This window comes from Homo sapiens, chromosome 22 (assembly GCF_000001405.40).
Source record: "Homo sapiens chromosome 22, GRCh38.p14 Primary Assembly".
Taxonomy (NCBI): Eukaryota; Metazoa; Chordata; class Mammalia; order Primates; family Hominidae; genus Homo; species Homo sapiens.
This window is the reverse complement of record NC_000022.11, coordinates 28,624,807-28,638,008: the sequence shown is the minus strand read 5'-3', so window position 1 is coordinate 28,638,008 and position 13,202 is coordinate 28,624,807. Positions and strand designations below refer to the sequence as shown.

General features: G+C 37.6%; 1 protein-coding gene across 9 annotated transcripts in view; it reads left to right on the top strand.

Moving 5' to 3' along the window:
- TTC28 (tetratricopeptide repeat domain 28) overlaps window positions 1–13,202 on the top strand; it is a 701,827-nt gene that overhangs the window by 41,832 nt on the left and 646,793 nt on the right. For 8 of the 9 annotated variants that reach the window (NM_001393403.1, NM_001145418.2, XM_047441214.1 and 5 more), the window contains exon 2: window positions 8,179–8,457. In NM_001393403.1, the coding sequence (NP_001380332.1) occupies window positions 8,179–8,457 (279 nt within the window). Of the gene's footprint in view, window positions 1–3,799; window positions 4,104–8,178; window positions 8,458–13,202 lie in introns of those variants that run through there. The other variant, XM_047441215.1, reaches the window with a different exon arrangement.

Below are 13,202 nucleotides of genomic sequence, written 5' to 3'. Positions count from 1 at the left end.
TTAAACCCTCTTAATGAATTCACCTTTTTATAATTAAACAATTATTTTGTCTGTTGTGAATAGATTTTGACTTAAAGTCTATTTTGTCTAAGTATAGTTATTCCTGCTCTCTTTTGGTTTCCATTTTGCGTGGAATATCTTTTCTGTCCCTTCACTTTCAGTCTGTGTGTATCCTTAAAGCTGAAGTGAGTCTTTTGTAAGCAGCATATAGTTTTTGTAAGCAGCATCTCTTTGGGTCCTGTTTTTTTTTTTTAATTTAAAAATTTTATTGTGTCCTGAATTTTTATCCATTCAATCATTCTGTTTTTTGATTGGAGAACTTACTCCATTTACACTTAAAGTAATTATTGATAGGTAAGGACTTACTATTGCCATTTTGTCAATTGTTTTCTGACTGTTGTGTAAACCTTTCGTTCCTTTTTTGTCTTCCTTGCTGATTTGATGATTTTCTATAGTATGCTTTGGTTCCTTTATCTTTTGTGTATCTGCTATAGGTATTTGCTTTGTGGTTACCTTGATGCTCACATAAAACATAGTTATAGCAGTCTATTTTAAGCTGATACACAATGGGGAAAGGATAGTTTCCAACATATATGGTCCTGGGAAAACTGGCTATCACATGCCATAAAGTGTAATTGGATCCTTAACCTACACCACACATAAAAATAAACTCAAAATAGATTAAATACTTAAACGTGGCTGGGCGCGGTGGCTCACGCCTATAATCCCAGCACTTTGGGAGGCTGAGGCAGGCGGATCACCTGGGGTCGGGAGATCGAGACCCTCGTGGCTAACACGGTGAAACCCTGTCTCTACTAAAAATACAAAAAAAATTAGCCTGGCATGGTGGCGGGTGCCTGTGGTCCCAGCTACTTGGGAGGCTGAGGCAGGAGAATGGTGTGAACCCGGGAGGCAGAGCTTGCAGTGATTGGAGATTGCTCCACTGCACTCCAGCCTGGGCGACAGAGCAAGACTCCGTCTCAAAAAAAAAAAAAAAAAAAAAACTGAAGACCTGAAACTCTAAAACTCCTAGAAGAAAACATGGGGGAAAAAGTTCTTAATATTGGTCTTGGCAATGATTTTTTGGATGTGACACCAAAAAACTAGGCAAAAAAAGCTGATGGGACTACATCAAACTAAAAATTTTTCCACAAAAAAGGAAACAGTCAACAAAGATGAAAAAGTAACCTATGGGGTGGGATAAAATATTTGCAAATCATATACCTGATAAGGGTTAATATCCAAAATATATAAGGAACTCATACAACTCTATAGCAAATAAATAAATAATCTGATTTTTAAAATGAGCGAAATACCTGAATATAATTTGTACAAAGAAGACCTACAAACTGCTAAGAGGGGTGTGAAAAGCTGCTCAACATCACTACCATAGGATCCAGCAATCCCACTTCTGGATATGTCTCCGAAGGAAATAAAATTACTATCTTGAAGTAATCTTGAAGTATATCTGCACTTCCATGTATACAGCATTATTCACAATGACCAAGATATAGAAACAACCTAAGTGTCCATTGCTGGATGAATGAATAAAAAAAATGCACATGTGCAAAATACAATATTATTCAACCTTAAGGAAATCCAGCCTGTAATCCCAGCACTTTGGGAGGCCGAGTCAGGCGGATCACCTGAGGTCAGGAGATCGAGACCATCCTGGCTAACACGGTGAAACCCCGTCTCTACTAAAAATACAAAAAATTAGCCGGACATGGTGGTGGGCACCTGTAGTCCCAGCTACTTGGGAGGCTGAGGCAGGAGAATAGCATGAACCCAGGAAGCAGAGCTTGCAGTGAGCCAAGATCGTGCCACTGCCCTCCAGCCTGGGCAACAGAGCTCAAAAAAAAAAAAAAAAAAAAAAAAAAATCCTGACATTTGCAACAATATGGATGAACCTAGAGATGTCATGCTAAAGGAAATGAGCCAGACACAGAAAGACAAATACTGTATGATCTAACTTATATGTAGGATCTAAAAATGTTGAATTCATAAAAACAGAGAGTAGAAGGGTGGTTATCAGGGGACAAGGGTGTGAGAAATGGGGTGACATTGGTTAAGGGGTACAAATCTTCAGCTATAAGATAAATAAGTTCTGGAGACCTAGTATACAGCATGGTGACTGTAGTTAATATATTATATACTTGAAATTTGCTAAGAGAGTAGATCTTAAGTATTTTCACCATGTACACACAAAAGATAGCTCTGTGAGGTGATGGATATGTTAATTAGCTTGATTGTGGTAGTCATTTCACAATGCATACATATATCAAAACATCACATTATATATATTCTATATATACGACTTTATTGGTCAGTTTATACCTCAATAAAGCTAGAAAAATTTATAACAGGACTGGAATTTTACTATGTATGTAGTAATTATATGTGGCTGCATATATTGAGCCCATTTGGCTCACATGTTACTGACACTCCCTCTACCCTTTTAAGATGAATTTGTCAGAGGATCAGAGGAAAATATCAGCAATGTTAATATATGTTGACATCCCTATGCTATATGTATATGAAATTCAGTCAAAATATTTTTCTCTATTTTGGAACTCATGAGGGAATAAATAATGGTTAATCTAAGTAAATGAGTAATTAAACATTTTATTTTTCATTATCTCCTTAAGGAGTACTATTCTGTTTTGTTTTGCTTTGTTTTGTTTTTTTGAGACGGAGTCTTGCTCTGTTGCCCAGGCTGGAGTGCAGTGGTGCAATCTCAGCTCACTGCAACCTCCACCTCCCGGGTTCATGCCATTCTCCTGCCTCAGCCTCCCGACTAGCTGGGACTACAGGTGCCCGCCACCATGCCTGGCTAATTTTTTGTATTTTTAGTAGAGATGGGGTTTCACCGTGTTAGCCAGGATGGTCTCGATCTCCTGACCTCGTGATCCGCCCGCCTCAGCCTCCCAAAGTGTTGGGATTACAGGCGTGAGCCACCGTGCCCATCCCTTACGGAGTACTATTCTAACTCATTAAATTAGTTCCTGAATTTAATATGGCTGGTTATTTTAAGTACAACATATATATAATCTGAGAAATACATGCAAAGGTCTTTTTTCTCTGTCAAGTTTATCAATTGCAGATAAGATAGAAAAGGACTTGGGGCCGGGTGTGGCAGCTCATGCCTGTAATCCCAGCACTTTGGGAGGCCAGGGTGGGTGGATCACTTGAGGTCAGGAGTTCGAGACCAGCCTGGCCAACATGGCAAAACCGTATCTCTACTAAAAATACAAAAATTGGCTGGGTGTGGTGGTGCACACCTGTAATCCCAGCTACTCAGGAGGCCGAGGCAGGAGAAGCGCTAGAACCTGGAGGCGAAGGTTGCAGTGAGCCAAGATCACTCCGCTGCCCTCCAGCCAGGGCAACAGAGTGAGACTCCATCTCAAAAAAAAAAAGAAAAAAAAGAAAAGGACTTGGGAAGTTATGTTTATTCTTTTTAGCCATACATAGAAATTTCCGTTTCTTTTTTTTTTTTTTTTTTTGAGATGGAGTCTCGCTTAGTCGCCAGGCTGGAGTGCAGTGGGGCGATCTTTCGCTGCAACCTCCGATTCCCAGGTTCAAGCAATTCTCCTGCCTCAGCCTCCTGAGTAGCTGAGACTACAGGCTCGTGCCACCACGGCCAGCTAATTTTAGTATTTTTAATAGAGACGGGGTTTTATCATGTTGGCCAGAATGGTCTCAATCTCTTGACCTCGTGATCTGCCTGCCTCGGCCTCCCAGTGTGCTGGGATTACAGGCGTGAGCCACCACTCCCGGCCAGAAATTTCTGTTTCTTAGCTTTCTAACAACCACACAGTATCCAGCTGAGTAGACACAGATATATTTTGACAAATTAGAAGCTTCTGTGGAGCACTTACTACAGCGCATTTTTCTTTTAAATTTGTGAACATTTGATGGTGTTTTGTGAACATTTGGTTAACTACTACTAATTCTAAATACTAGAGTTCTCCTCTAGTATTTAGAATCTTTCTGCACTAGTACTGACTCATCCATGGTATTTTCTTTGCTCTTAGAGGCCTTAGTAATGGTTTACATCAGTGTTTCGAGCAATTTCTGGACTTGCCAGATCCTTCACTATAAAGGTGATTTGATCTTATAATGTATGGTATTTCCCCCTCTCAGATTCACAGTGTGCAAAATAAGATCTGTGAGAGATATTTCACTAAAGAAGAGATTTATTTAACGTTGTTCATCCTTGTCTCCTGAGGACCTAAGTTTTCCTTAGAATATATTTTGGGAAATGTTACTTTATATTACTGTACATGGAGGTAATAGAATGAAGATGATTTCTCTTCTTAATTTGATTCTTATCTGTGTTGGCATTGAACCAAAATTATTACTCTGCCATTATTTTCTTTCTGAGACAGGGTCTTGCTTGTTGTCCAGGCTGAAGTGCAAGTGGCATGATCACAGCTCACTGCAGCCCTGACCCCCTAGGCTCAAGCGGTCCTCCCTCTTCAGTCTCCCAAGTAGCTGGGAATACAGGTGCGTGTCACCCACTCAGCTATTTTTTGTCTTTTTTGTAGAGACAGGGTCTTGCTTTGTTGCCCAGGCTGGTCTTGAACTCCCGGGCTCAAACAGTCCACCCACCTTTGCCTCCCAAAGTGTGGGATTACAGGCATGAGCTATTGTACCTGGCTTACTCTGCAATTCTTTTTGAAAAAAAAATTTTTTTTCTTTTTCTTTTTCTTTTTCTTTTTTTTTTTTGAGACAGAGTCTTGTTCTTGTTGCCCAGACTGGAGTGCAATGGTGCAATTTTGGCTCACTGCAACCTCTGCCTCCTGGATTCAAGCAATTCTCCTACCTCAGCCTCCTGAGTAGCTGGGATTATAGGCACCCGCCACCATGCCTGGCTAATTTTTGTATATTTAGTAGAGATGAGGTTTCATCATGTTGGCCAGCCTGATCTCAAATTCCTGACCTCAGGTGATCCGCCCACCTCGGCCTCCCAAAGTGCTGGGATTACAGGTGTGAGCCACGGTGCCCTACCTTGCAAATTTTTTAAATAATTTTTTTTTTTTCTAAAATAGAGACAGGGTCTTGCTATGTTGCCAGGCTGGTCTCAAACTCCTGGGCTCAAGCAGTCTACCCATCTTAGTCTCCCAGTATGCTGGGATTACAGGGATGAACCACTGAGCCCAGCCTACTCTGCAATTCTTTATGAGAAGTAGGGAATACTGTAATAGTAGGATTCTTCTTCTTCTCCTTTTTTTTTTTTTAATAACTTACAGGCTACTTATGAATCTAACAGTTTATCTTACTTTAAAAGTCTTTACTTGCTATTTTTATGTCATGCCCCTGAATTTTCAGATACAGAATTTGTTTCTATAACTTATGGTATTATTGACCTTAAGCAGAACCATGATGATCATATTTTCCAAAATGAAATCAGTCTTACATATTGTAATAATTAAAAACAAGGACTGAAAATTCTGGTTGTTTGGTAAATGTTACATAGTCCATTTACTTTCAAGCAATATGTTTCATGATCATAATTTTTTAAAAAACCTTTAAGTGCATTATTGGTTGGCCACTTCCAGTATGTGAAAGTTGAATATTGGTGCATGCCTGTAATCCCAGCTACTCGGGAGGCTGAGGCAGGAGAATTGCTTGAACCTGGGAGGCAGAGGTTGCAGAGGTTGCAATGAGTCGAGATCATGCCATTGCACTCCAGCCTGGGCAACAAGAGTGAAACTTCTCCTCAAAAAAAAAAAAAAAAAAAAAAAAAAAAAAAGTTGAATATAACTTGGACACTGATATTTGAAACTTACAGAATCCTTTAATGTTTTGAATTGTCCTGGAAATCAGGATATAATATCCGTGTGAACAGAGGAAGAACAGTCGCTCATATGTGTGATTAGATCTGCCTTTCTTCCTTTCTTTGGGGAATTTTTTCTTTTTTTAATAAAAATACTTCTTTGAGGAGTCTATTTCTTTGTATATGTTGGCCTATTGCATCAAATCAGATGCATCCTCTTCTGAATGGAGGTACTGGACTTGATCTTAAAGGAAGACATAGGGAAAAAAATACTTTTTGTTTTAATTTCACTTAGGGCAAGCTTGCTTAGAAGTATAAAATGGCTGTCCTTGATACTACTGTGTTAAATTTCTTCCCTTTGTACTCTACAGTTCGTAATTTTTATGTTTTAAAAATGAGTAACAGGCTGGGTGCTGTGGTTCACATCTGTAGTCCCAGCAGTTTGGGAAGCCAAGGCGGGAGTATTGCTTGGACCCAGGAGTTTGAGACCAGCCTCGGCAACATGAGGAGACTTCGTCTCTACAAAATAATAAAAAAATCAGCCAGGCGGGGTGGTGCATGCCTGAGGTTCCAGCAACTTGGGAGGCTGAGGTGGGAAGACTGCTTGAGTCCAGAAGGTTTGAGGCTGCAGTGAGCTCTGATCACACCACTGCACTCCAGCCTGGGTGACAGAGCAAGACCCTGTCTCAAAAAAACCCACAAAAACAAACAAACAAAAACACTTGACACGTTTGCTTCCTTTGATTTTAAGGTCACTGCACTGCTGCTATAAAATTATAGAAAACTTAGTAATTTTGAAAAATCAACATCAAAAACAGATTTTAAATTGCCAGAATATAGTTACAGCTGAATAGTTTTTGCTAGTCTTCAAAAACTGGTGTTTGTCTTTGAAATTTCATGGTAGTAGCCAAATTATAGTCACCAAATTTGCCAGTCCAAAAAGATTCATTGGTACATGAAAACATTTTTTAAACCTTATTTTTTATTTTAAAACTTGCATAAGTTTAAGAAAATTAAAATGCTCCACAACCTTTCTAGAGGTAATTTAGTATGATTAATATTTTGATTTTGTTCTCTCATTACTTATTTATTTATTTTTAGAGATGGAGTCTCACTGTGTTGTCCAGACTGGAGTGCAATGGCTATTCACAGGTGCAGTTGTAGCACACTATAGTATTAAATTCCTGGGCTAAAGTGATCCTCCTGCTTCAGCATCTTGAGTAGCTGGGACTACAGGTGCATGCCACTGTTCCTGGCTTTTCAGCATTATTTTAAGTGCAATTGTCTTAACATAGTTGAGATTATAGTGTCCATATATGTTTGTATTTTATTTTTTCCATAGTATATAACTTTAAATTGCCAAGGAAAAACCTGAGTACTCTTTTGCATTTATTCATTCAACAAATACAAATACAAATATACATGTATGTAACTATTAAACATACATATACACATATGCATGCAAGGCCCTTTGTTGGCTGCTTTGAGAGAAGATTATTGTCTTCCAGGGCACAAAAGTTAAATATAATGTAGAGCAGATCATGAAGAATGTTTGTGTTTATTGAGGTTCAGATGATGTCTTAGTCTGTTTTGTGTGGCTATAAAGGAATATTTGGCCAGGTGCAGCAACTGATGCCTGTAATCCCAGCATTTTGGGAGGCTGAAGTGGAAAGATCTCTTGAGGCTAGTAGTTCAAAATCAACCTGGGCAACATAGTGAAATCCTGTCTCTACAAAAACAACAACAACAAAAACACCAAAAAAAATTAGCTGCATGCCGTGGCATGTGCCTCTGCTTCCAACTACTCAAAAGGCTGAGGCAAGAAGATTGCTTGTGCCTGGAGCTTGAGGCTGCAGTGAACCTCAACAGTGCAGTGACTTGTGCCACTACACTGTAGCCTGGGTTACAGAGTGAGACCTCATCTGAAAAAAAATAAGAGTAAAAAATAAATACCTGAGGCTGAGTAATCTATAAATAAAAAAGGGTTATTTGGCTTATGATTTTGATGATTGGAAAGTTCAGGATTAGGCATCTGTATCTGGTGAGGGCATTAAGCTGCTTCCACTCATGGCAGAAGGCAAAGGGGAGCTGGCTTGTGCATGCAGAGATCACAAAGTGAGAGGAAGCAAGAGAGAGAGAGGGGCTAGTGGCAGGTCTCTTAACAACCGGCTCTCACTGGAAATAATAGAGTAAGAATTCCCTCACCCCCAGGGGAGGGCATTAATCTGTTCATGAGGGATTTACTCCTATGACCTAAACACCTCCCATTAGGCCCCACCTCCAATACTGGGGATCACATTTTAATGTGCAACTGGAGGGGACAGACATCCAAATCTTAGCAGATGGGGAACCCATCTGGATTATCTGAACTTTTTCTGATAAAGTTTCTTTGTTTGTAGATTCCTCTCTTTGGTGCTGACACTATTGGCCAGAGAAGTCCTGATGGACCGGTACTGAGCAAAGCTGAATTTGTTGAGAAAGTTCGTCAGAGTAATCAGGCCTGTCATGATGGAGATTTCCACACAGCTATTGTTCTGTATAATGAAGCCCTGGCTGTTGACCCTCAGAACTGCATCTTATACAGCAATAGATCTGCAGCCTACATGAAAATCCAGCAGTATGACAAGGCACTGGATGATGCAATCAAAGCTCGACTTCTCAATCCCAAGTGGCCAAAGGTAGAAATTTTTACCTATGAAGATTTATTTTCATAGAATCTTTTGTCCTGGCTTCTTACTTTAATGTAATATTTTGTTGATTTAGTGTACTTACTAATATTTTAATAATCTGTACTTCAGCAAAATATAAAATGACTTCCTTGAGCTGGTACACTAGCGAAAAGCTTCCTTTGTTTTTTTGTAGCATGCTTTCCATGTGCAAGTTTAATTCTTTTCCTGTATGTGTGAGATTTAAATTTTTTTTTATCTGTGCCGCTTGATAAGTAAGATACATTCTAGTTCTTTATATAGGTTTTGGAACATCTCTTTTTGAATGAATATTTTAGATGAAGTATGATGATGTTTCTTTCCTTCAATTTAAAATAATTAATTTCATTCTCTGTCAATGACTGTTTATTTTCAGAATGGTATTTAATCAGGGAAATTTCTGTTTTTTCTAATAAAGCATTGTAATTATCTGTATTCCCTTGAATAGTCCCCTTAAGTTACTATCTTTGTTTTTTATTATATATACTTTATTTTCAGTGTGCATACTCCTAACCTAACCCCTAGTTTCTTTTAGAAACAATTCCTTTCTTTTCCTTTCCTTTCTTTTCTTTTCCTTTCCTTTCCTTTTCTTTTTTCCTTTTTCCTTTTTTCTTTCTGAGACAAGGTCTTACTCTGTCACCAAGGCTGGAGTGCAGTGGTGCAATCTTGACTCACTGCAACCTCTGCCTCCTGAGTAGCTGGGACTACAGGTATGTGCCATCATGCCCGGCTAATTTTTGTATTTTTTATAGAAAGAGGGTTTCACCATGTTGCCCAGGCTGGTCTCGAACTCCTGAGCTCAAGCAATCTGCCTGCCTCGGTCTCCCGAAGTGCTGGGATAAAAGTGTGAGCCACCTTGCCCAGCAGAAACAATTTCTTAAGATGCTCCTGAAGCATAGAGGGTGGGGGATAGGAGAGGGGCGAAATGGGAGAATGTAGATCCAAGGATATAAAGTTGCAGATATATAGGATGAATAATTCTAGAGATCTAATGCACCACATGAGGACTATAGTTAATAATATTGTATTAGGGATAATTGCTAAGAGTAGATTTTAGGTTCTCTTATGACACAAACACACACAAAAAGGGTTACTATGTGAGATGATGAATATATTAATTCGACTACAATAATTACTTCACTTCATATAAGTAAGCAAAAATATCATGTTGTATACCTTAAATACATACAATAAAAAGAGATGTGATTGAAGTATTTGAGATATTTTCTATAGAACCACAAAACCATTTCATCCCATTAACAAAGGTTAATGGATATTTCCTAGAGATTTAAAATAGTTTCCTAATGTCTTATTAATAATATGCTGAAGGGCTGGGCATGGTGGCTCATGCCTATAATCTGAGCACTTTGGGAGGCTGAGGTGGGAGGATCCCTTGAGCCCCCAGGTTTGAGGCCAGACTAGGCAACATAGTCTCTACAAAAAATACAAAAATTAGCCAGGTATGGTGGCACTCACCTATATCCCCAGCTACTTGGGAGGCTGAGGTGAGAGGATTGCTTGAGCCCAGGAGGTAGAGGCTGCAGTGAGTCATGATTGCATCACTGCACTCTGGCCTGGGCAACAGGATGAGACCCTGTCTCAAATAATAATAATAAAAGTCATAGTACTTTATCCTTTGACTCTGATAGGTCTTCTTGGCCTCATTTAATGGAATTTCTAGTATTGCTGCTGCCTTGTGAATGGTTTACTATTGTGTAATTCCCTAAAGGATTACTTTTGTAACCATAATCATTCTAAATGAAACAAAAATTGTTGAGAAAAATTGTATATGGGCTGGGCACGGTGGCTTCACGCCTGTAATCCCAGCACTTTGGGAGGCTGAGGTAGGCGGATCACCTGAGGTCAGGAGTTTGAGACCAGCCTGGCCAACGTGGTGAAACCCCGTCTCTACTAAAAACACAAAAATTAGCTGGGCGTGGTGGCAGGCACCTGTAATCCCAGCTACTCGGGAGGTTGAGGCAGGAGAATTGCTTGAACCCAAGAGGCAGAGGTTGCAGTGAGCTGAGATCGCACCACTGCACTCCAGCCTGGGCAACAAGAGTGAAGAGTCTCAAAAAAAAAAAAAAAAGAAAAAGAAAAATTGTATGTGATACCATTTGCGAACTAGAGTGCTATTTTCAAAGCATAAACCTAGGTTCACATTCCTGTTCCTCCATTAATGACAATATGGTTTTGAGTAATCTCTTAACCTCTCTGAAGTTAAGATAAATGGGAATAATAATAATACCTATCTTGGAAGATTGTTGCTTAAGGATTGGAGATAATTTTTAACTTGTACATAGTAGATGTTTGGTAAGTAATAGCTATGATTGTGACATTTTTACTGAAGGTTTGAATTAGTAGATTATTCTAGCAAGGTTTTGCATATATATCTGCCTCTGTCTCTCTCTCTCTTTAAACCTGTAATTGATGCAGTGAGCCTTATAAATATGGAGAGCTTAATTTTCAAATTAAGTATCAATTCTTGTCCTTTTTTGATCCACTTGTGTTTTTCCTATATTTGTGAACGCCTTTAAACTTTTATCTTTTTCATTTTTCTTTATCATTTCTACTTCTCCTGGCACTTCTTGTGACTTCTACACCCCAAAAATGGCTTTTAAAAAGTGTACTTTTATTATTATAGACAAAAAATAATCACCCTTTTAGGATAATTTATATTATTGGTTTCTGATTTTTTCTCTTCACAGTAAGTGAAGTTATTGTATAGTCCATTTTACATTAATATTTTAGTTCTATATTTGGCTTTAAGCAAACCTAATTTAGGAACATTTAAAGTATATAAAATATAGAGTTCAAAATTGAAATCACAAAAGGTTCTTTTGAGGTAGTATGATAATAAAATTAATTTATAAAGAAATGTTCAGTACTGCAAAAGAATGTTTCCTTTTATAAAATCTTGATTTTATACTTATTTTTCTAGGCATATACTCATTAGGTAAAAGAAGATTCACTTACATTTTCTTGTTATAAATGTATATCTGGTGAAATTTTGTCAATTCCTTTTTCTTTTAATTTTTGCTTTTCTACTCTGGCTTTTTATTATAATGCTTTGCTTTTCTAAAGTCTTTATCTGAAATATTTTTGTCTAGTCTGATGTGTGAAAAGCTACCTTCCAATTTCTGTCTCTCTCCATAAGTATTAATTTTTTATGTAAGGATCTAAAGGCTCCAGAGACTAGATGGAGAATTTTTTATACATGTCTGTTTTATCTAAATGAGAAAATGATTTTGATGTGATATGGGCTGTAAAAGAGGTATGAACAAAGCACTATGGGAACCCACAAAAGCAATGAGTTCAGTCTGCAGGTACCTTATCTCCAGCTGCATGCTAGATGTTTTTTCTTTGATTTATCTTTATGTTTCTTCTTTTTATGTCCTATTTAAGAAACCTTTGTCTTCGCCAAGGTTACAAAGATTTTCTTCTAGAATTTTTATGTTTTTTGCCTTTAGGCCTATGATTTATTTTGAGTTAATTTTTAGTATTGTGTGAGATAAGAGTCAAAGTTAATTTTTTTCCAGATAATGATAACCATAATCCAGCAACATTTGTTTTAAAGATTATCCTTTCCACATTGAATTATCCTGGCACCTTTGTCACAAACCATTTGACCATATAAGTATGGAGTTATTACTAGATTCTCTATTTCACTGATTTCTGTGTATATATCTCAATGCCTTAACCATAATGCCTTAATTACTATAGATGTATGGTAAGTCTGATTATTAGGTATTGTAAGTCTTCCAACCTTGTTCTTTCTTTTTTCTAAGTTGTTTTGGCTATTCTATATTTTTGCATTTTTATATAAGTTGTAGAATCAGCTTATCAATTTCTTCAAAAAACCTTTCTGGAAATTAATGGGCTTACACTGAATTAGACCAGTTTGGAGAGAAATGCCATCTTAATGTTATTGAGTCTTTGAATCCATGAACATGGTGTATTCCTCCATTTACTTAGGCCTTCTTTTATTACCTTTGCAACTTTTTGTAGTTTTCAGTGTTCAGATCTTGCATGTCTTTTGTTAAATTTGTTTCTAAGTATTTTGGCTTTTGATACTATTATAAATGGAATAACTTTATCTTCTAACTTTCTATTGAGAATCTATAGAAATACAATGTATTTTCTGTACTTTGTGTCATGTGACCCTGTTAAATTTGCTTTTAATTTCTAGTAGGATTTTTGCAGATTCCTTGGGATTTTCTATGCACATGGTAATGTCTGCAGGTAATCACAATTCTGCTTCTTCCTTTCTTTTGTGTATGCCTTTTCTTTCTTTTTCTTTTTCTTCACTTTTTGCTCTATTGCGCTGGTTAGCATATCCGGTACAATGTTGACTAGAAGTCATGGGAGTGAACTTCCTTTACTCATTCCTGATCTTTGTGGGAAAGCATTGAGCTTCACATTGTTGAGCATGATGTCCTTAATCAGGTGGAGGATATTCCCTTTAATTTCTATTATGAGTGGGTGTCAAATTTTGTCTATTTTTTCTTCATCTATTGAAATTATAATTTTTTTAGCTAGCTGTTAATATGGTAAATTAAATTGATTTATTTGGGGATATTAAATCAACTAAATCAACTTTGGTTTTAATGGGGGTAAATTCCAGGTAGTCATTATGTATTATTCTTTTTGTTTATTGTTGGAAATGCTTTGCTAAAATTTCGTGAAGAATTTTTGCATCTATGTTTAAGAGAGATACT